The following is a 23454-nucleotide window of genomic DNA, read 5'->3' on the forward strand; positions in this document are numbered from 1 at the left end:
ATGTATAATGCATACAGACACATACACACACAAACTTCCATTACATATTCACTGCATACACATGTCTCTTTATTCCACATGTCCAAAATCAAATTCTGGACCCTATTACCCCAAAAACCTTCCTCAGTCGGAAACTTACCCATCTTAATTGATGGCCAATCCATCCCAAGGCAGTCATTTTGACTCCTCTTTTTCTCTTACAGTCCACACCCATTAATTCCATCAGCACATTTTATTGTTTTTGTCTTAAAAATATATCCAGAATCTGACCAACTTCTCACCATTCCCACTGCTACCATCCTGGTCAAGCCTTCACCAGCTCTCACCTGCAATATTGCAGTAACCTCCAAAGAAGTCTCCCTGCTTCTATCATTGCCTCATCCCCCATTATAATCTATTCTCCTATCTCCGAGTGATCTCTTTAAACATAAGCCAAGTCACTTCAAAACCCTGCAATGGCTTTGTTTCCCTCAAGAGTAAAAACCAAAATTCTTCCTATGGCCCTTTGTTCTCTCTCTGACCTTCTCTCGCTACTTTCTCCTTTGGTTACTTTCACTCAAGTCTCTGTATTTTCTAAATGTTCTTCAATAAGATACTGTTTTTTTAATTAATGAAGTTTTAAATGTAAAACTATGAAAGAGTAATCTAATCTGCCATTTTATCCAAATGTTTCCACTATTAGAACACGATTGTATAACAAGTCTGAGAAGAAAAACTAAGTAAATTTATGACAAGAGTTTATGGTGCCCTGAATGTCTACGTACCTAATGAAGACGTTGATACAGAGAAATCGTCTCAAAAAATCAAACGGTATGGTGAAATACCACAAGTTCTGGGTTTGGGATTGAAATATATTTCTTAAATCTTTTATTACTTACTAATTGTGATACCTTGACTAACTCACTATTCTCTGATTCAGTTTTCTTCTGTGTAAAGATGAAGTGGTCTGTAAAACCAAGAAACCTCGTGTTCTATAACAGGAACACCTTTATATAGCTACCCAAAAAAACACCTAAAAAGGCTGACTTATTCCTAAGAGTGTTATTGAACATTCTAGATTAATCTGCATATACAAAAGAATGCCAGAGAAGAAACCAAAATACCAAAAATATTTGGAGCCTGGTTGCGGACTGAATTTTATACAACTTTCAAAGACACTATTTGAGAGGCTGTCGTGTGTAGCCTACTAAGAAAAAACAGAGGGGTGGGGTGGCTCACTCTCTAGGAACCACAAACTTAAGGTTCCTAGAAAGAGCAGAGATTTTAAATATTCAGACTGTGTATGTATCATGACCCAGGGTTGGGGGCAGATGGCCCGGGGTGGCGGGGGAAAGGAGAGATGGCGGAGATCTTCTATCAGGCTATCCTGGGGAACTGCTCCAGGCTGAAACAAACCACCAGTTAGGACGAACCGCCTTTGATGTGAAAGCTGGGAAGCTAGAATGTAGTTTCGCCTTATCCTTAGCGGGTCGGTTCTAACAATTTTGTCACCCAAACTGAACCACTCACCGGGTCAACTGGGCTGCAAGCCCTTATGAGTTGGAGACAAGTGGCCCAGCCCCAACACAGTCAGACAAATCGCTGGGCGGCCATCTGCTCCTGAGACCGTTGCTAGAGAAACAAGACAACATCCAAGTTCTCCACATCATGGTTTTCCGGGCGCCAGCCAAGGCGCTCCGGGGGCGTGGTTACGTGGGCGACGCACGGAGGGGGCGGGTCAGAAACAACCGGGCGGAGGCGCACCCCAGGGCGCATGCGTGCTGTGCGGCGCGGTCTCAGGGAAGGTGGGGCTATGGCAGCTGCTAGGGACCCTCCGGAAGTATCGCTGCGAGAAGCCACCCAGCGAAAATTGCGGAGGTTTTCCGAGCTAAGAGGTACCAGAGAAGGCACCGGAGTTCTCCTGGGCAATGCAGAGGGAGGGTGCTTTTACGTGCCAGGAGGTTTGCTGGACTGTCACTTCCCGTTTACTTCTCATCTGTAGGCCTATGACGCTCCCCAGGAGTAGCTAGCTAATAATCCTTTTGAGTTTTTTATTCTTTTCACTGTCCCTGCTTGACATGCTTGTTGCTTACTTTATTCTTAGTAGTATAGATATTAAAAATGAGGGCGGAGGAAGAAGAAGAAAATCTTACTAGTGAAGTTATGCATTGATTAGCTCATTAATAAAAGTTGCTTTAAATAAATCTAAAAGATACGAAGCACAGTATTTTGAACTTTATGAGTAGATGCCAGCCCCCTATCTACTTCACGCTTTACATTACGTTCATCTACTTCTGTAATGTAACCGTTTGTTGAGGGAGTAACAGAACATGGAGGAATTATGGATTAAAAATTAAAAGGAAGAAATTTGTTATCAAAAAATTGGCTATGACACTTAATCCCTGTACACCTGTCTAATAAAAGTGATTATATTTGTGTTGCAGTGACTGCTTAAAAAATACTGGGACTAATTCTTGGATAACAGTAAAACTTTCAGGACTATTAGATTCTAGCTGACAAGTTCTGTTTGTTAACTAATTAAAATGCTAAATCATTTTGTTTATCAATAAAGAGATTCCAACTGTCTACTAAAAGTGCACACTGTCTTTTAAAGATGTCATCAGAGAGTTGGGACCTTCTGTTATCCAGAATTTTATGTTATATTCTAACAGCCTATGTAAGTTTGCATGGTTCATCTTAAAGTAATAGAAAATAAAGTACCCACATTTATAAACAGCAACATTGAGGGAAGGGATCTTTGGGTTGTGTCTTTCTTAGTCACCTAACACCAAGTGTCCGTGATACATAAGAATTGATTTGCAAAGCTGGAGATTTGTTTATGTTTATCTCCTCTTCTTATTGAAGAATTGAGGCAATAGTCTTTGGCAAGTTAAAAGTCGCTCTCTTAATCAAGAAACATTATGTCATTCAGAATTTATAATTAAATTGGATTGCAAACCATAAAAGGAGGGAGTGATCTAAAAGAAAAAAAAGGAACTTGTGAACAGTCTTCATTATAACTATTTTGAATCGTATTAATGCACCACTAATTATTCCCTAACTTTCAAAAGCCAAAGATACATTTTGGAAGATGATAATGGATATTACCTTCTTTATCATCTTTCTCAATAGGCAAACCTGTGGCAACTAGAAAATTCTGATAATTTTTGTTTTCATTTCCTTGCTTTTTCCAAATAGGCAAACTTGTAGCACGTGGAGAATTCTGGGACATAGTTGCAATAACAGCGGCTGATGAAAAACAGGAACTTGCTTACAACCAACAGCTGTCAGAAAAGCTGAAAAGAAAGGAGTTACCCCTTGGAGTTCAATATCACGTTTTTGTGGATCCTGCTGGAGCCAAAATTGGTACGCGCTTTATGGTCAGTTTTATAATATAGGTCCTAAGCAGAATAATCATTGAAGAAAAGGTTTCTGTGACTTACAGTGTATAAGCTGCATATCTCTACCCACAGCTTTACAAACTTTAAAATTTGAACATAAATTGACTTTTTTTAGAAAGATAAAAGGAATAGCAACTGTTCTTACCCATTATGACTTACCTTGAAAAACTTCCAGAATGTTACTTAAAAGAAAATTTTATTAGTTTTAATGAAATTCACACTATTCAGATAGGAATACTCCTTTGGACCTTATCAGTAGAACCCTTGAGGTCCTCTCCACTCCAGAGTTCCTCCAGCAATTTACATGAAGAAAGCAATTAGTGGGAAAAAATACTCTTGACCTCTTAGGGACATAATGCAGAATGCAAAAGAACACTGTCACATGGCTTAAATATAATACATATATTTGAAAACCCTAGTTTAGGTCAACTTTGCCCTTTGACCGTCCATTGCAAATAGAAATAAATGCTGTTTTTCTGAATGCTCTTTTCTATGTGATACTTAAAGTTGAAGCCCCCTGATACCAGAGATAAGATATCTGTATATGACATTAATATGACATTAGCATTATTCTAATTAGCCAACATTATTTTAATCCTTACAACTATGAGGTCAGTACTGTTATTATTTCTTTTTTTTTTTTTTTTTTTTTTTTTGAGAAGGAGTCTTGCTCTGTTGCCCAGGCTGGAGTGCAGTGGTGCGATCTTAGCTCACTCCAAGCTCCGCCTCCCAGGTTCAGGCCATTCTCCTGCCTCAGCCTCCCGAGTAGCTGGGACTACAGGTGACTGCCACCAGCCTGGCTAATTTTGTTTTTGTATTTTTTAGTAGAGACGGGGTTTCACCATGTTAGCCAGGACGGTCTGTATCTCCTGACCTCGTGATCCACCTGCCTCGGCCTCCCAAAGTGCTGGGATTACAGGCGTGATATTATTTCCATAGATGAGAATCTGAGGTACTCAAGAGTTAAGTAACTGGCCCAAGATAACTAGTGTGGTAGTTATATTTAAGATTTTTTTTTGGGAATCCAAGTTCTAAAAATCTTTTTTCGAAAGGAACTCTAACTTGTGTTTTTGATTGTGTCATTTGGGAGAATTATTTAAATGGGCTTTGTGATTTGTAACTCTGTATGAATGTTTATATTTATCAGTCTTCTAGTGTTACAGATTGTGTAATTGATTCTTCTTTCTTATAATTACTATTTTGGGGAGAATATTACCTCATCATTTATTACTGAGGGTTGTTGTCTGGGTTTCATTGCTAATTTATTGATTGGTTGTTTGCTATGAGATGTTTTTAATTTTGTTCTATTGCCAATACCTTTGATGTCCATCTATTTACTTATTCCTGAAAGGCAAATCCTTAAGGTTATATAACACCTAAATTTACTGTCATGACAAAGTTTTAGTAGGTTTCTATTAAATAAATTGTGCTTTTTTAACTTTGTTTTTAAGGAAATGGAGGATCAACACTTTGTGCCCTTCAATGTTTGGAAAAGCTATATGGAGATAAATGGAATTCTTTTACCATCTTATTAATTCACTCTGGTAATGTTATACTTTACTAATTTACATTTTCTTTTTAGTCTTCCACCTTTAATACTTTAGAGACTTTTTTCTTTCTTGCAAACACTTTCCTTCTTTTTTAAAAGAATCTTTGAAGTTATTCTGCTTTGAAAACAAATATTTTATGATTTTCATGACTTTTTTTAGGTTGTAAGTAGTATAGTGATTTTCACAAATTTTACTCGTAAAATTGTAGATCACGTATATCGTCAGTCTTTTATGAATATTGTTTTGTTTTGGGTATGTATATAGAAAATTATTTTCCTAAGACAACTCATTCAAATATGAATAGTTCTCGGGAATACTTTAATGGGGATTTTTCTTTTAATTTTAATTTGTATTTTAAGTTCCAGGGTCCATGTGCAGGTTTGTTACATAGGTAAACGTGTGCCATGGTTGGTTGCTGCACCTGTCAACCCATCACCTAGGTATTAAGCCAGCATGCATTAGCTATTTTTCCTAACACTCTTTCTCCCTTAATGGGGATTCTTGCTTTGAGGGAAGGGTGGTTTAACACTGTCATTACTAGACTTTTGCCAGTACTTTTTATCTTGCATTTTTGTGTGATTATTGATAGCCAGAGGCCACAATGCTTAAAAATAAAAGGAAAATGTGACAAGATACAGAGTGGACAAGTAAATATATAAAAGAGAAATCACACACACAAAATAAGACATTTTAAAACAGAAAAGTAGGAAGGACATGGTCTCAGAATGAAGAATAGCTTTTTAAATTGAATACATTTAGTTGTGTGAAAATTTTGGTTACATGAAAACCTTTGTTGTTTTTCTATGTATGTTAAGGGGCTAATGAAAACTGTCATGAACTGACACCAGTCCAGGGACAGGTATTTTAGAATTATTCATCTACATGGCTTCCAAGGCACTTTTTCATTCTTATGATTTACATACAAAACAATGATTCTTTGTAAAGATGATGTCAAAGTAAAGCATCCAAGTTCTGGTTTGAAGCCTAAAAATGTGTAAAACAATCTAATTTACAATTTTATTTAAGAAAATAATTATTATCAGTTTAGTAAAAATTAAATTAGATACCAGGAAATGCATAGTTAGATAATTTTTTTATTTTTATTTTTTGGAAATAGATAATTCTTAGTGCTAAACTTGACTATTGGCTGCTCTTTGAAAAAAGAAAAAAACAGAAACTTATTAGCTCTCTTTTGTTGAACAATGTACTGTGTGCTGCCAAGTGCTTTACAGGTATTATTGATCTTCAGTAATAAATTAACCTTAGCTTACTATAACATTTTTACTTTATAAACTTCTTAATTTTTTTGACTCTCTTGTAATAACATTCAGCTTAAAACACAAACACTGTACAGCTGTACAAAAATATTTTCTTTATATTGTTAGGGTTTATTTTGTTGTTTTTATTTTTACTTTTTAAATATTTTGGTTAGAAATGAAGACACAAACATATTAGCTTAGGCCTACACTGGGTCAGGATCATCAGTATCACTACCTCTATAGTCCTACTAAAGTTCAGGAGCTGTCATCTCCTATGATAACAATGCTGCCTTCTGAAAGACCTCCTGAAGGACCTGCCTGAGGCCATTTTATGCTTAACTTTTTTTTGTATGTATCATATGAATTTATTCTAAAATAACAATGAAAAGTATAGTATAGTAAATACATAAACCAGTAAAATAGTCATTTATTACCAATTATTATATACTATATACATAATTGTATGTTCTGTAGTTTAGTAAACTGGCAGCACAGCAGGTTTGTTTATACCAGCATCACCACTTGAGTGGTGCATCGTGCTAGGACTTTACAATGGCTCCAACATCACTAGGTGATAGGAATTTTTCAGTTCCATTATGATCTTATGGGACAACCTATGTATATGCTGTCCATAATTGAGCGAAATGTTGTAAAGAAGCAAGTATTTTAGCATTAGTATATTAGTTTTCTATAACTTTTATTTTCTGTGAAGTAGATTTTTTTTTTTTTTTGAGATGGAGTCTGGCTCTGTCGCCCAGGCTGGAGTGCAGTGGCACGATCTCCGCTCACTGCTGCAAGCTTCGCCTCCCGGGTTCACGCCATTTTCCTGCCTCAGCCTCCAGAGTAGCTGGGACCACAGGCGCCCGCCACCACGCCCAGCTAATTTTTTGTATTTTTAGTAGAGATGGGGTTTCACCGTGTTAGCCAGGATGGTCTGGATCTCCTGACCTCGTGATCTGCCTGCCTCGGCCTCCCAAAGTGTTGGTATTACAGGCTTGAGCCACCGCGCCTGGCCTTCTGTGAAGTAGATTCTTAATTAGAAGTCTAAACATGGTTGAAATTTGTTGTTTAAAATGTAGATACAGGCTGGGTGTGGTGGCTCACGCCTGTAATCCCAGCACTTTGGGAGGCCGAGTTGGGTGAATCACCTGAGGTCAGGAGTTTGAGACCAGCCTGGCCAACATGGTGAAACTTCGTCTCTACTAAAAATACAAAAATTAGCCAGGCGTGGTGGCAGGTGCCTGTAATCCCAGCTACTCGGGAGGCTGAGGCAGGAGAATCGCTTGAACCTGGGACACGGAGGTTGTGGTGAGCCAAGATCGCACGTCACTGCACTCCAGCCTGGGTGACAGTAAGACTTCATCTCAAAAAAAAAAAAACAAATGTAGATGCAACATCATGTTTTGGGCCGTGGTCCTTCTTATTTGTTATACATGTAATTCAAAACATTTCACAGATTCTACAGTATATTTAAATTTTTTCCTGACCTACAGTTTTTAAAATTGTCTTATATCAAATGGCAACAAGAAAATTTCTCTTCGAATTTTTAATTTGGATTTCATTATTCTTTCCTGATTTGCAGTAACAAGTGGCATATATTAAATATCGTTAAATATATTTTGATTTGTAACTTATGGGTTATAAAACCCTGGGGTTTTGAAAATTTTATAAATAATACTGCATTTTTAAATGGTTATTTCGTTTTAATTTTATAGGTGGCTACAGTCAACGACTTCCAAATGCAAGTGCTCTGGGAAAAATTTTCACTGCTTTACCTCTTGGTAACCCCATTTATCAGATGCTAGAATTAAAACTAGCCATGTACATTGATTTCCCCTTAAATATGAATCCTGGAATTCTGGTTACCTGTGCAGATGATATTGAACTTTATAGTATTGGAGAATTTGAGTTTATTAGGTTTGACAAACCTGGCTTTACTGCTTTAGCTCATCCTTCTAGTTTGACGATAGGTACCACACATGGAGTATTTGTCTTAGATCCTTTTGATGATTTAAAACATAGAGACCTTGAATACAGGTCTTGCCATCGTTTCCTTCATAAGCCCAGCATAGAAAAGATGTATCAGTTTAATGCTGTGTGTAGACCTGGAAATTTTTGTCAACAGGACTTTGCTGGGGGTGACATTGCCGATCTTAAATTAGACTCTGACTATGTCTACACAGATAGCCTATTTTATATGGATCATAAATCAGCAAAAATGTTACTTGCTTTTTATGAAAAAATAGGCACACTGAGCTGTGAAATAGATGCCTATGGTGACTTTCTGCAGGCTTTGGGACCTGGAGCAACTGTGGAGTACACCAGAAACACATCAAATGTCATTAAAGAAGAGTCAGAGTTGGTAGAAATGAGGCAGAGAATATTTCATCTTCTTAAAGGAACATCACTAAATGTTGTTGTTCTTAATAACTCCAAATTTTATCACATTGGAACAACCGAAGAATATTTGTTTTACTTTACCTCAGATAACAGTTTAAAGTCAGAGCTCGGCTTACAGTCCATAACTTTTAGTATCTTTCCAGATATACCAGAATGCTCTGGCAAAACATCCTGTATCATTCAAAGCATACTGGATTCAAGATGTTCTGTGGCACCTGGCTCAGTTGTGGAGTATTCCAGATTGGGGCCTGATGTTTCAGTTGGGGAAAACTGCATTATTAGTGGTTCTTACATCCTAACAAAAGCTGCCCTCCCCGCACATTCTTTTGTATGTTCCTTAAGCTTAAAGATGAATAGATGCTTAAAGTATGCAACTATGGCATTTGGAGTGCAAGACAACTTGAAAAAGAGTGTGAAAACATTGTCAGATATAAAGTTACTTCAATTCTTTGGAGTCTGTTTCCTGTCATGCTTAGATGTTTGGAATCTTAAAGTTACAGAGGAACTGTTCTCTGGTAACAAGACATGTCTGAGTTTGTGGACTGCACGCATTTTCCCAGTTTGTTCTTCTTTGAGTGACTCAGTTATAACATCCCTAAAGATGTTAAATGCTGTTAAGAACAAGTCAGCATTCAGCCTGAATAGCTATAAGTTGCTGTCCATTGAAGAAATGCTTATCTACAAAGATGTAGAAGATATGATAACTTACAGGGAACAAATTTTTCTAGAAATCAGTTTAAAAAGCAGTTTGATGTAGAGATATTTTAAATATTGTACACTTTGCCTTTTTGAGTAACATTCCAGAGATAGGTATTTTTTGTAGGCTGTTTCACTGAACTCAGTTAATGAAAACTGTATTAACATAATTGTTGTAGCATAATATTAATAGTGCAAAAGTACATATAAGTCATTTTGATGAAAAATATTCCAAGACTAAGTTGAGAAAAGAGATACTATTTTGGATGTGTATCAGTATTTTTGTTTTTAATAATGATTGATTTGTGGAGCATTGTTTTTTCACATAATTAGTTTTAAAGGTAATTTTCTAAGCATACCTTTGGAATTTTTCCATCTTTTTTGAGGCTTTTGGTCCAGTGAAGTTCTAAGTATTCACTGGCACTTCTCTCCTCAACTGTAATTCTATTTTTAATAATAAAAATGGCATACTGTAGGGTCTTCAGAGTAGTGTAGGAATACTGTAGAAATACTTTTTCAGAAACGAATCCATAGCTGACAAATTCACTCAGTGCCCAATATATTGTGATTATTTTCGTTGATAAAGAACTAGATACAAAGACCTCTGAAATTGATGATAAAATTTGTATCTCATTAATTTTATCAAAATGAAACTAAAAGTACATATGTATTATACACTTGAACATGTGTTTGTATATCTTTAAAATTTTCCTTTATGTTCCATTCCATAGGAAAACACACATATGCACACAAAACTCAGTTATCTGTGGGGAAAGTGGTAGTAATAATTGAGATTCATCAATAATCATATAATTTCACTATAGACATTACTTGCATTATCTCCTATCAGTCCTTCTAACAAAACTTCAATTACCAGATGAACTGACTTTAGTTTTCATCTTATTTTTTGTCCACATGCTGGTGATGCTGAGAAACAATAATTGGCCCAAATGCAGACATCAAGAAGCAGGCAGGAAAATGGAAAAACTGAGATAATACACAGGTGATAAACAGTTTCGAGAAAATAAAAATTGGCTAGAATCTCAAGTTATGTGTTTCTATATTGGTATAAGCATATAAGTGAAAAGTCTTATAAGTGTAATAGAGAAAAGATTTGTCAGTGTGTTTTTTTAAATGAAATAACTAGTCTGTGCTACTTTATGTCAATATAAAAATTGGTAAACTAGAAGTAACTTGTCCACAACCCTCAGTTATGATACTTATGTGCGTGTTTTTTTTTCCAAAGTTTTTCCCAAGGAGAAGATACAAATATATGGTAGCTATTGTTTAAAAATGATTGATTTACTTGCAGATTTTTCAGAGGATGTTATGTCTTTGTCATTCATTAAATGTTCAAAATTGTAGTTTTACCAAATCTGAAGTGCCATCAGTTATAAGAATCACCATTATTTTATGTTCCATTAAGAAAAACACAATAAAACATGACACTGCTTTTTTTGTTACTTGAAATTTTCATATTTATTGGAGAGCTCTTTTAGATGTTTTTAAATACAGATTTTTATTTAACCCTCTTGCATATACATATAAAATAACAAAAAAATAAAATATTGAGATATCATCAAGAAATTTCTACAGCTTCACATTCAAACTCTTCAGCACTTTCAGAGCTATTGATATGCATATGTCCACCTAGTACCATCTTCTCTGCTTTCAGAATTATTGGTAAGGCTGCATTTCCTGAGTGCTCTACCACACTTATGTCTGGATTTTTTTTACCCAGCTACAGACCCACACTCCTGCAAGATTTGATACCCTTCTATTTGGCAAAACTCAGTTTCACTTTTCTTTCAGTTTAATCACAGGTCCTTAGAAGATCGGACCTGTGATTCTATTCAAAGTCAGAAAGAGATTTCTCACAAATTGACGTCATATTAACATGTCAATATGAAAATTAATTGTTTGGTAAACCAGAAGTGACCTGTCTGAAGCCCTCAATTGTGGTATTTGTGTGTTTGTTTTTTCTTTTTCAAGATTCTTTTTAAAGAAAATATATGGTAGCTGTTGTTTAACATTTATCTACTTACAGAGCGTTCAGAGGATGTTATATGTTTATTAAGTGCTCAATACTGTATTTTAACCTAATCTGAATTTTAATCATAATCCTGTACAATGCATGGATTCTGGTTGCTTTGAAATGGTTCTGTTCAAAGGACTTATCAATGTCTCTTGCTTTGAGATGTATTGCTTGGTGTGTAGTAGCACAAACGTACCACCAATAATGTACCTAATTCAACTGAAGTGACAGTCATATACGCAGATATGACCAAGTTCACATGTGAGCAAGTAACAACTCCATGACTATTGCTGCCTGGCTAATAGCTATTATACTATCATTTGTAAGGCACATTCTGTTTTCTGGGGTGTCGAAATGTGGATAAAAAAAGATGAATTAGGAATGATTCTAACCTAAGTATGTGTTTTAATAAAAGGATCTAGGCAAAAAAAAAAAAAGTAAGTCACTCCTAAATTTAATCCCTGAATAATGCAGTGTACATGATGATAGAGGAGAAGTGTGTTTTTGATAAGAAGTGACTAAATTTTGTGACAATCTTAATTTTTTAGGCTTTTCATTTAGTCTTCCAATAAAGATAATTTTTTTCTGAGTTTTATCAGCAGTAGAAAAATAAGACCTACATGGATAAGTTTGAAATTAAACATTTTGTCTCATTTTATAATTTTTATTTTTATGAAATCATGGCACTTACATCATATACTCAGGTGTGTAAAAGCCTGCTATTTGTAACTATAATCCATAAACTTATTGATGATTTAATAACTATCAACAAGGGCATGGGAAAAATTCAACATTTGATAATAATCTTTTACCTTAGGCATTTATTCTCTAAGCAAAGCAGAAATAAAGGATATGTATCAGTGTATACTGATTGAAATAAAGCTTTAAAAATCCAAGTGATACTCTGAAATTGTCAAAAGTTTAATGGCATGAATCCAGGATTAATTCCCATAACCTGTGATGATCTAGTCATCTTCTGTAGCTACATAGTACTCCTAATGTTAAGATTACCAAATTCAGCAATAAAGCCAAAATCAAAACTGCCTTCTGTCACATATAGCTGTTAAGTAAACTACACAAAATCAGAGTTGCTGTTTACATACATCATGATGCCGTCTGGACTTGAGCACCTTGGCGGCTCAGGATTAAGGCACCTCAGTCTAGCCTAGCAGAGTTACAATGGAGAGAAGTGAAAACTCATTAGTAGCTCAAAACAAGCTAAAGGATTTCAGATGCTCTTTTTCTTGTTCATCTAAATCAAGTCTTCATCTGTGTCAAGAACTAAATTGTTAAAGACCTTTTTAATTTGCTTAGTGCAAGAAAAATAATAGCAACCATATATCTAGTTAACTTGAGTCTTCTGTGCCTCTAAAATTTTGTTTAGAGAAAGCCTATTTCTATTGAGGTTGAGGAACACAATTCTAATACTTAGTAAAATTATTAACATTCATTGCATTTAACTTTGTCGTATTTTCCTTCCTCCAATACTAGTGTGCCAAATTCTGTAACATAGTAGCATTTTTCATGCTCCCATTTATCTGTATATACAGAAACTTCTGCTTAGGTTTTTTTTTATATATAAAGAAAGTCTAGTCATACCAGTTTGGTTGAAGAATACTAATTCTGTCCCTGGAAGAGCTGTCTACGTGAGCCACAACAAACCAAACTTGCCACATCATTCAAACTTGCCAATTTGGCCGTAGTTTAGTAGATGACAACTTTGGGTCAGGTTAATATTTGGGGAAATGGAATAATAAAAGCTGCTGATTTTCCTACTGTATTGCTACTTGGAGGATTGGAGGTGTAGAGGGAAGATGCCTGTAAATGAGTCACTGTTATCACCTACCTGCACATCAGCTTGATTGTTGACACTTATGTCTAAAGATGTTCATCCCAAGAGTATTATTGTGCATGCAAGTAACTGATTGATACTAACGAGTTAACATTTTATTTTGGGCTGCTTGGACAAAAAGTCTTATCTTTTTGAAGCCTCTGGCTGCAGGGATCTCTTAGCCGTTGCACATATAAATTTCAACCATTCACACAGAGCAATTCATTTCTGATTGCTGTAGACTAGTGCAATCCATCTGCTAGTGTCATTTCCTAGCTATCTGTGCCAGAATTACACTCCTTCAATTGTGCTTCAGTGCATTTCTGAAACAATCTAAACTAAAATGTCTGTATTCTTTGGCCACTGGCTTATGATGTGTTACTGATATGCTTGTTGAATCTCCAGCCTCTTTAACACTTTTTAAAATCTTTGTTACAACCAACACATCATAGCTAAGTAATCTGCACATGTAAATGATTTTTTTAAATTTCTTTTCTTACCAGTATCCACTGTTTTCTCTCTGTAGCACATTCAGATGGTTCAAGTGAGTTTTAATTTACCACTTCCTTGTAGGAGAGTGTCACATCGCCCAGAATAGAATTAAAGCATTTACATCTTGAGGCAAAAAAATCTTTTAAAATACAACTATGTAGAAATCAAGTAAGTGTTCATTTCATTTGCAGGTTTAGAAATGTTGCACTGCTTAATGAAGTTTTACGTGAGTGGTTTCTTACCTATTATTTTTAGCCTTGGGGTTTGAGAAAGTAAATTATGTCCATCAATTTTCTGTACTTTAGAGAAGTTTCAAATATTTCTAGAACTAGAAAACTTGGGACTACACAAAGAAATAATTATGATTATATCAGGTGGCCCAAGTGCAGATTTTAAATGTACAGGCACACTGACAAAGTCATAAATTAAAAATGCACTAATTATATATCACTGGGATCAATCTTTAATGAATTGAATAAGAAAGATCACTTATGACTGGTTAAAGTTGATAGAGCTTCTAATTAAGCATTATCCAGTCAAATAAAGAGCTGTGTATGGAAGCCAGCCTATGAGGAAGGAAGGAAAAAGTTTTAGAGTAATTCTTTTTTACTTGTTGCAACAGCTGATTCTTCAATACAAAAGAAATATTTACTTTGATTTGCATTTCTCTGATGGCCAGTGATGGTGAGCATTTTTTCATGTTTTTTTGGCTGCATAAATGTCTTCTTTTGAGAAGTGTCTGTTCATGTCCTTCGCCCACTTTTTGATGGGGTTGTTTGTTTTTTTCTTGTAAATTTGTTTGAGTTCATTGTAGATTCTGGATATTAGCCCTTCGTCAGATGAGTAGGTTGCGAAAATTTTCTCCCATTTTGTAGGTTGCCTGTTCACTCTGATGGTAGTTTCTTTTGCTGTGCAGAAGCTCTTTAATTAGATCCCATTTGTCAATTTTGGCTTTTGTTGCCATTGCTTTTGGTGTTTTAGACATGAAGTCCTTGCCCATGCCTATGTCCTGAATGGTAATGCCTAGGTTTTCTTCTAGGGTTTTTATGGTTTTAGGTCTAGCGTTTAAGTCTTTAGTCCATCTTGAATTAATTTTTGTATAAGGTGTAAGGAAGGGATCCAGTTTCAGCTTTCTACATGTGGCTAGCCAGTTAGAGGATGTGGAGAAATAGGAACACTTTTACACCGTTGGTGGGACTGTAAACTAATTCAACCATTGTGGAAGTCAGTGTGGCAATTCCTCAGGGATCTAGAACTAGAAATACCATTTGACCCAGCCATCCCATTACTGGGTATATACCCAAAGGACTATAAATCATGCTGCTATAAAGACACATGCACACGTACGTTTATTGGGGCTCTATTCACAATAGCAAAGACTTGGAACCAACCCAAATGTCCAACAATGATAGGCTGGATTAAGAAAATGTGGCACATATACACCATGGAATACTATGCAGCCATAAAAAATGATGAGTTCACGTCCTTTGTAGGGACATGGATGAAATTGGAAATCATCATTCTCAGTAAACTATCACAAGAACAAAAAACCAAACACTGCATATTCTCACTCATAGGTGGGAACTGAACAATGAGAACACATGGACACAGGAAGGGGAACATCACACTCTGGGGACTGTTGTGGGGTGGGGGGAGGGGGGAGGGTTAGCATTAGGAGATATACCTAATGCTAAATGACGAGTTAATGGGTAAAGCACACCAGCATGGCACATGTATACATATGTAACTAACCTGCACGTTGTGCACATGTACCCTAAAACTTAAAGTATAATAATAATAAAATAAAAAAATTAAATATTTACCATGAGTTCAGTGAGAAGAAGCAATTTACAAAATTAGCCATGTTTCTAGTGTCTTTGAGTATGTATCTCTAAGACTACAAACGTGCTGGAATTTTCCATAACATAAAAATAAACAAAAACAAAAAACAATACTTCTCTTAGCCATATTATTTCATCAGGAATAGTCAGCCTAGTTTCATCTACAATGAAACCGAAGTTTTACTAGCCATCATACCCAACACTGAATTCTAGATTCAGATATGTACCTCCCTGCTTCGTATCCCTCCCTTACTGGAAAAAAATACATAGGCATCTCTATTTGGAGAGCTCTAATCTTCTATCAATTAAGGTAATCTTTTTCATCTAGATAAATGACACAGCCATTCACCAAATTGCTCAAGGAACAAACCAGGAAATTTTCCATGACTCTTCAGGTACTTCCCCTCATCCTTTTCATCCTGTTTTCAACAAGTGAAGTCTATGTATGAAAAACACAACCAAAATCCATCAACCTCTCTCAACTTGTTGAGCTACCACTGTTTTCTAGACTAATGGAATAGTTTTTTTTTTTTTTTTACATCCCACAATGCCTTATTGTGTGCAGTAATAACAATGATCTGACTTTTATAATTGCACATGAACGCAAAGTTGCAGAAAGCCTGCAAAGGAAAGATTTAGAAGATTGGCATTGGGGTGTATGAGGCATTGAAAGAAAAAGGAATACTGTGGCCATCTCAACCTTACTTCACTAATTTGGTACTGTTTTTGTATCCCATTTTGCTCCCCTGAAGACTACCTTTTAGGACAAAGATTCATACTACTTTCTAACATTCTACACTTTATTTTCTCCATGAAGTTTTGCCTGGTGATAGTCTGCAATCTCTTTACCACCCACATTGTTGTTTTTTACCTTTTTCATATTTGCTATGTGTAATCAGATGTCAGCTGGAAATCTGCTTTCCCTTTAGATGTAGGCAACATTAGTTGAGCCTCTATTCTAAACCCCAGAGATGATGTCAAAAACTTCTCTCAAATATCTGTGAAATTCCTGAAGATCATATATCTCCATAATTGCTTTGGACTGTAAGCTTCCATTTCTGGTGAGTTAGTTCTGTTTGGGCTTGCATGTGATTTTCTCACAATTCTATGAGCTGAGCGCCTATTTTTCACTATGTGAGTCTCAAACTTTTCCTCTTTCCTGCAATTAGGGCATCACCATATCCTCTCCAGAAAAAGGCCTTCTCACACAAATTTTGTGTGTAGCAAATTTCTCTGAATCATTGGAGCTAGGGAGGAAGTTGCTGGAAGGAAAGAGAAGGATACATATCAGAGCACAGCATTAAGTAATAATTGTTCTTAGAAATCCTTTGGCATCTTCATCTCCAAGACTTTCTTCACTAGCTATTTTTTTTATAATCCAAAATTATGTCTAACTTTTTTTCTCTTCCTCAGACCAACTTCTTCCATCCCCTTACGAGATATGCACACGTTGTTTACATTGTAGACATATAGCATTTATCTCTTCTTTCTCTTGTGTCATTAGTTTTCTTCCTTCAATGAATTATTCTCATCAGTACACTAATATTCTGTGATTTTTCCAGTTTAAAAAAAAAAAACCCTTCACTACACTTCCTTCAGGTATTACTTTATTTCCTTGTTCCTTTTACACTAAAATTTTTAGAATACATTGTCTGTTTTTCCATTCTTCAGTTCCCGTCTTCCTATTTACTCTTCAACCCAATTCAGGCTTTTAGCACCCCTCTCCATTACCACTACTCCATTAAACTTGTTCTGAAGATTTCCAGTGCTCTCGACTTTGCTAAATCCAGGGGTCATTCTTGGTCTCATCTTCTTGCCCTTTAAACAGCATTTATCTCAATTGATTACTTCTTTGACTTGCATTCTTTACCTGGATGCAAGGAACCCCACATTACTGGTTCTTTTTCTAACTTTCTGGTCACACTTTTTAAGTCTCTTTAACTGATTTCTCCTCATCTTCCTCACCTCATATCACTAGAAGGTCACAGATATTTGTATTTGAATTTCTCTATCCACATTCACTCCTTTGGAATACCATCCATTTTCATAGCATCTATGTGTTATCAATTCTCAAATCTGTATTTCTCATTATCAAAATGTAACTCTCAAATTGTTAAAATATGAATCCATAAATTGTGAACATGGGTCAGAATTTAATCAGTGAGGAAGCCAGCAGGATTATGAAGTTGATTTTTATATTGTTCCAGATGCTACAAGGAAGAAAATTTATATACAACATTATAAAGAATTTTTTCCAATAACAGAGTACATTTTCTTATGAGATAATAGGCTTAAAAGACAATTTAGCAAGAGTTTTCTCAAGAAGTTCTTATTTTAGATAAGAGGTAGGATTGAGGCAGGAAAATAGGGCCTGGAGGCAGGGAACGTAAGGCCAATTCACACTTAAGCTATGACAGGAAATATCCTTTTCATAGGGTGTATGCAGAGTAAATAACTTTGTAACTTTACTTCTTCCTCTCCATTTACATATGGCATACACCAAGTAACCAGTGGAAATCTCTAGAGGGTATTTAAACCCCCACAAATTCTGTAACGGTGTCCTTGAGCCCCTATGCTCAGGCCCATTCCCACACTGTAGAGTGTACTTTCATTTTGAATAAAGTTCTTCATTCTTTCTTTGCTTTGTGTGTTTTGTCCAGTTCTTTGTTCAAAATGCCAAGAACCTGGTCACTCTCCACCAGTAACAGGATTAGATAATGACTGTGGGTTGGATTTCCTGAAAACCAGAATCTGAGATGTACTTTAGAATGCAAAATATTTTTAAGGAGGGCCTGTGGGATTAATACTTGTACAAGGAAGGGGAGAGAGCAAAACAGAGTAGAAGAAAGTGAAGCTGAGATGCAATCCCAAAGACAGCCTTAATTGGCTAATCCCAAGAGGAGCTCTGGATATTAGAATAGCACTTCAGTGTTTCCCAAGTTGAACCTGATTGGCCAGGATTTATACCACACATCAATTATCTTTTCTCAGGTGCCCAATTGATAAGGAAGACAATGGACAAGATATCTCTTTAGGAATAAGCCAATCTGTGAAAGGGGGCTGACCAATGAAAGCTGTCTACTGACAGCACTTGCAGTAGCTGAGGTAACAAGCCCTTCACTGAAGAAGCAATATGGGTGCCATCACAGTGTCCACCACAATAACATTATAAAGTCCACTCAATTCCAAGATTCAATTTCTATATGTAACTATTTTAATGAAACATTGTTATGTTTTAATTCAAGTTGAATTATGACTTCCAAACTAATCATGCAATATTGTACATATTTTAAGTGTACCCAATCCAAGAAGAAACTATACTTTAGTAGATATGTCAATCATTGATTTACAGAAGCTTTTTTTTTGTAATACTGTCACAAATCTACATGATAATCCCTAGTGCCAGATTTTACTTTTGACTAGCTGAGCAAGCTAAAATATTCATAAATTCACATGAAGCCAGATGGCTTCCCACTGAATATGCATTTGAATGATTCCTGTACATTATTTATTCCAAGAAGTGCACAAAATATACCATCGTCATAGTAGAGATTCTTAATAAGTTTGTTTCAAAAAGGAGTCAAGGAATAACAGGTGTCCAGTGCTAACTATATTTTGGACTGAACCATGATTCTATGTATATTTGAGAATTACTAACAGCAGATTCAATATAGTTAGTTTCTATTAGTCTCTGAAATATCAGGAATCTGAAATAAGGAAGGTTCAGCAAGAATGACTAGCATTTTGGAAAAAAGAGGATTTAATGTGGCTAGCATAATTTCTTAATAATTTGCTTAGTTCTCTAAAATATTCAAATGTACAACACAAAGTATTAACCATTTTTGTCAAGTCTATCAGTATGTTTTTAGGGGTACTTTTTTCAGGTTAAAATAACAGATGTGAATTTGAAATGAAAATATAACTTAATCATTAAAAGCTTTTTCTCCAACATATTTGGGGAGAGAATAAATGAAAATAGTATTTTTTTCTTTTTTAATTCATAGAGTTTTCCTTTCATTTAAATCTGCTGTGTCCCTTTTTAAAGTTTCCTGTTCTCTGGACATCTGTCATCATTGCTGTCCCCACCTTCCATCTTCTGTTTTTTTCCTTCAAATGTGGTAATCAATGTTGTTTTGTAAAACAAATCTAACAATTCTACTATCTGAAGTCAGGATGGATATGCTTCTGATCCTTCTTCAGTGTTTTGTTGCTATGCTTTCATGTGTATCTGATTGACTTTGTTTGTTGGTCATTGTCCTTAGCAAAGTATTTGCAGAGGTTTCCCATGGCCTAAGATGAATGGACTCTCCTGTAGAGGCTTTGCATTTGCTTCTATCAGGAGACCAGAGAAGCATTGCCACTTAAGAGCAACCTCAGATTAAGTTCAAGAGTGAGCTTTTCTGACTTAGAAGGCTCTGTATAAATCCAAAGTGAATATTTTTGTAGCAATAATTGCTCAGGAACCTTATTTTACTTTCTTCTCTTTTTTCCTTTCTTCTTCTTTTTTTAAATTTCTTCTGCTCTGCTTAACAGCAAGGCAAGCTGCTTGACAATTCTTTGGTTTGGGATAAAGGAGGACATATTTACTTCTAGCTGATACTTATCCAAAGGCATATTTTTGGGAGGCTTTAGATTATTAGGGTGTCAAAGACACCCTCTAAGAATTTCCGACCTGAGGAAACACTTGGCTACCCTCTGGTTCCTTAGAACCTAAGTTTAAATGTGTGCTTTTGGAAAATTCCTCAGGGCAGAAACTTACTCCATACGACCTACATTTCTTATACAAAGAAATATCCACTTATATCTCTGTGTTTAAGCATTTTCCTGAAATGGTTTGTGTATACAACTTTATGGTTTTTAGTTCCTCATTGTTTTTTGCGATTATGACTTTTATACTTAGCATTTAAAATCAGTCCATTATTCTCACTTATGTGAAACATAACTCTAGTTCTGTATTATCTTATTGACTTATTATCCAACATTTTCACTAGTGATATATTTTAGTTAGTAGAGGGTATGGTATGTTAGTGGGGGGGATAGTACTAGTAGATGATATATTTTTATAATGAATGTTACAGTCATGGAATGTAATGATTATGAAAATGCTAAACATATGAAGAAAAAATGAGGAATAAAGTAAATATTTATACCCTTATCCCTTTTATCCCCCATCCCATAAGCCACATGACGGAGTAGACAGCTCAGCACCTAGCATGATGCTGCTATGAGATGATAAACCATGTTAAATCTTTTACAGAGCAGGTCAGAATAAACATAAGCAGACAAAAGTATGTTAAATGTATACTTTTTGAAATAGGAAATAAGCCTACAAAATTTGCTTTAAAAAAGTTACCATTTATAGTAGATAGAACACATAGACCAGTGTTAGACCCCCTCTGACTTCAAATTATCACAATTTGAAGTTAATTATGTGCCAGGATATTTGATCAGCACTAAGAATATTTTATCCCTTGCTCTCAGGGTTCTTCCAGTTTAGTTGAGGATAAGATAGGAAAAAAAATAATTGCAATAATTCCTAGGTAGAGCTACCATAAGTAAGGCATTTGAATAGTCAGCCAAAGAGACTAACAAAAGCTACATGATGAGGAAAGATCTCTTAGTTTGGTACGCGAGAGTGCTCGGTGCATAACAAAGTCTGAAAGAAACCCAGTCAAAGTGTAGTGTGTCACTTCAGAAATCACATGGAAGTGTAAGAGTGGCTTGGGAAAAGGTCTACACTTGATTAATTTATAGTATTTTATATAAATATGCAGATAATTTCATATTTATATAAATACACAGGTACCTTAGAAATTAAACCTCTGACCAAATTATGATTAACAATTTATTTCAAAGAAGAGGAAAGAAGAGAGAAAGTCGTATGTGTTTATGTGTGTGTATGTAATATGGGAGTGATATTCCCAGTATTTGGCTACCAAATGACAAAATTGAGTTTAGACATTGATGAATAGTAATGAATAAGGAAACAAATAATAATAATAATTAATGTCTTCCCACAGATCACTTCCTAATAAAACACTGTAAATTAAAGGATATGGTAATTTATGTGATAGCTTTGCTTAACGATAAGCAGCACTTATTGAACTGTGTAGAACTGAAACAAAAGAGAACTGGAAAAGAGAAACTTCACAAATGAATTAACATAGTACAAATATTGTACAGCAGTTTATTTACTTTGAACCTGAAAAAATTTAATTAGATTTCAAAACCTTATAAAAACCTTATTTTATGTTCTCGTTAAAACACATATTTCTTGGAAATGATTTTGTTTAGACATGAGTAGGTACTTTTGTCTTTACAAAAGTTTATCCTTATCTGTGCTGAGCTAAAAATTCAGTATACAGCTGGTGTTTTGATTGATACAGTATAGAAGTGACACCACATATTATTATATCAGTCTGATTTAAAGAGCTGAAAGAAGGTGTTTATGGAGTAAACTACACTGCATAAACTTTTTTTTCATGGCTCTTAGTAGAAAAATAACAACAGCAACGACCAAAATATGTACACAAATGCACATTTTATATTTCATAGTCAGACATTAACTAAACCAATAAAACAATCTTCAAAGATTTTTATTGCATAAAAACAAAATATAACTTTCTAGTTAAGCATTAAGCTCAACAAAGGAAATGTATAAAAATGAAAAAACATTTTAGCTTTGTTCCTAGCACTGCTATTAACTCACCGTGATATTCATTAAACCAAAAGTCAAATATATGAACAGCAAGGGCCACTGGGCATTGCAAGTCTGAAATGGTGTGCTAGAAAGTGTTTTGAAATTTAAAGGAAAAGAAAAAAAAAAACCTTCCCGACAGGTGAAAATAAGCCTCCTATTCAGTTATGATATCTAAGAAAATTTAATGGAATTATTAAAGGAGCACTTACAGAATATGTGCAATTACTTTCTTTAGATGGGACAAATATATTTCATAACTGATTTCTTCATTTCCAAGAACAGTTTTATTTCTTTGATCTTTCTTTCATGATAATGAGGTAGATGTGTACAGGATTGAACATTACATTTCAAATGTAATCCCAACAGACTTGCAACAAGCAAATTTTTTATGTTATTCTTTATAAAATGATACCTCTGTTTAAACCACTCACTTTCTTCAACATACTATGAATTCATATATAATTTGTGTATTTCTCCCACTTACAGAACACTGGCTTATACCACTCTTCAGGTACTTCTCTCCTCCAATAATTATATTGTGTTTTTGTGGGGTTTTTTTTTTTTAGCTTTTCTAAGTTCTTTTGGTTTGATTACATGTTTCTTTTTGTAACTCTTTTTATCTTTTCTGTTCATAGTTTCTACCATTGCTGCTACTTTATATAATTTCTCTGTCATTTGATATTTATGACTTTGCCTAATTTAGCCTCATCAATTTTTAGTCCCCAAAAAAAATCCAAGATGAAATTTAAATTACTTTGGTCCCATCAATTTTGTTTAATTTGTTTACTGTGTAAAACAATAATAGAGATTTTAATGAACATCATCTTAATAAGTTTTCTAGTTCTCTGATGTGATATAATCTAAATTGTGTCCAGACTCTTGATTTATCATATTTTAGATATTAAATTGTTATTTATTTTCCCACTGTCTAAGATTTTTAAAAATCTACAAGTAGCAAGACTTATTGCAAATCATGCCAGATTCAAAAATCCTTCTGTACTACTAGCCCGATTAACCCTTTCTTCCTCTTTCATAGCATGTGGAAGTTTTTTTTTTTTTTTTTTGATACTCATCAAAAGCTACTTTGTAAAATAAGTTAGTTAGATTTTTGAATATCAAATTAGGTTGTAAGCTCTGTAAGCAAGGGCCCTGCCTTATACTTCCTTATAGACAAGCTGTGTCAAACCACTTTTTGGAGTTTTATTTTATTTCTAATTCAAGGACCTAACCTCAGCAGATTCTGATTTAGTTGATCACGAGTAGGTTCTTG

At 35.0% G+C, this 23454-nt stretch overlaps 3 protein-coding genes across 13 annotated transcripts in view, besides 1 other annotated feature; 2 read left to right on the forward strand and 1 right to left on the reverse strand.

The window, feature by feature from the left end:
• Nucleotides 1-1690, reverse strand: part of LRRIQ3 (leucine rich repeats and IQ motif containing 3) — a 172162-nt gene extending 170472 nt beyond the window's left edge. For all 8 annotated transcript variants that reach the window (XR_007079570.1, NM_001322315.2, NM_001105659.2 and 5 more), the window contains exon 1: nt 1510-1690. The gene's annotated coding sequence lies outside the window, so the exon portion shown is untranslated. The remainder of the gene's footprint in view (nt 1-1509) is intronic.
• Nucleotides 1594-1693: a silencer, noted in NCBI's record as "silent region_994". NCBI's record gives its function as "represses an Ori minimal core promoter by ATAC-STARR-seq in GM12878 lymphoblastoid cells {active_cell/tissue: GM12878}" and the evidence as "EXISTENCE:reporter gene assay evidence [ECO:0000049][PMID:35858748]".
• On the forward strand, nt 1756-12216 carry FPGT (fucose-1-phosphate guanylyltransferase). 3 transcript variants are annotated; one of them, NM_001199328.3, is made up of 5 exons: nt 1756-1874; nt 3178-3345; nt 4832-4924; nt 7905-7970; nt 8733-12216. In NM_001199328.3, exons 1-5 carry the CDS (start codon nt 1793-1795, stop codon nt 9344-9346), a joined length of 1023 nt encoding a protein of 340 aa, NP_001186257.3. In that variant the 5' UTR covers nt 1756-1792; the 3' UTR covers nt 9347-12216. The 3 variants fall into 3 exon arrangements, with proteins under 3 accessions (NP_001186257.3, NP_003829.4, NP_001186258.3); NM_003838.5 differs by having other exon boundaries at nt 7905-12216; NM_001199329.3 differs by lacking the exon at nt 7905-7970 and having other exon boundaries at nt 8722-12216.
• FPGT-TNNI3K (FPGT-TNNI3K readthrough) overlaps nt 1756-23454 on the forward strand; it is a 346187-nt gene continuing 324488 nt past the window's right edge. For both annotated transcript variants that reach the window (NM_001112808.3, NM_001199327.2), the window contains exons 1-3: nt 1756-1874; nt 3178-3345; nt 4832-4924. In NM_001112808.3, the coding sequence (NP_001106279.3) occupies nt 1793-1874; nt 3178-3345; nt 4832-4924 (343 nt within the window). In that variant the 5' untranslated portion in view covers nt 1756-1792. The remainder of the gene's footprint in view (nt 1875-3177; nt 3346-4831; nt 4925-23454) is intronic.

The sequence above is a fragment of the Homo sapiens genome, chromosome 1, assembly GCF_000001405.40.
Source record: "Homo sapiens chromosome 1, GRCh38.p14 Primary Assembly".
NCBI classification, from domain to species: domain Eukaryota; kingdom Metazoa; phylum Chordata; class Mammalia; order Primates; family Hominidae; genus Homo; species Homo sapiens.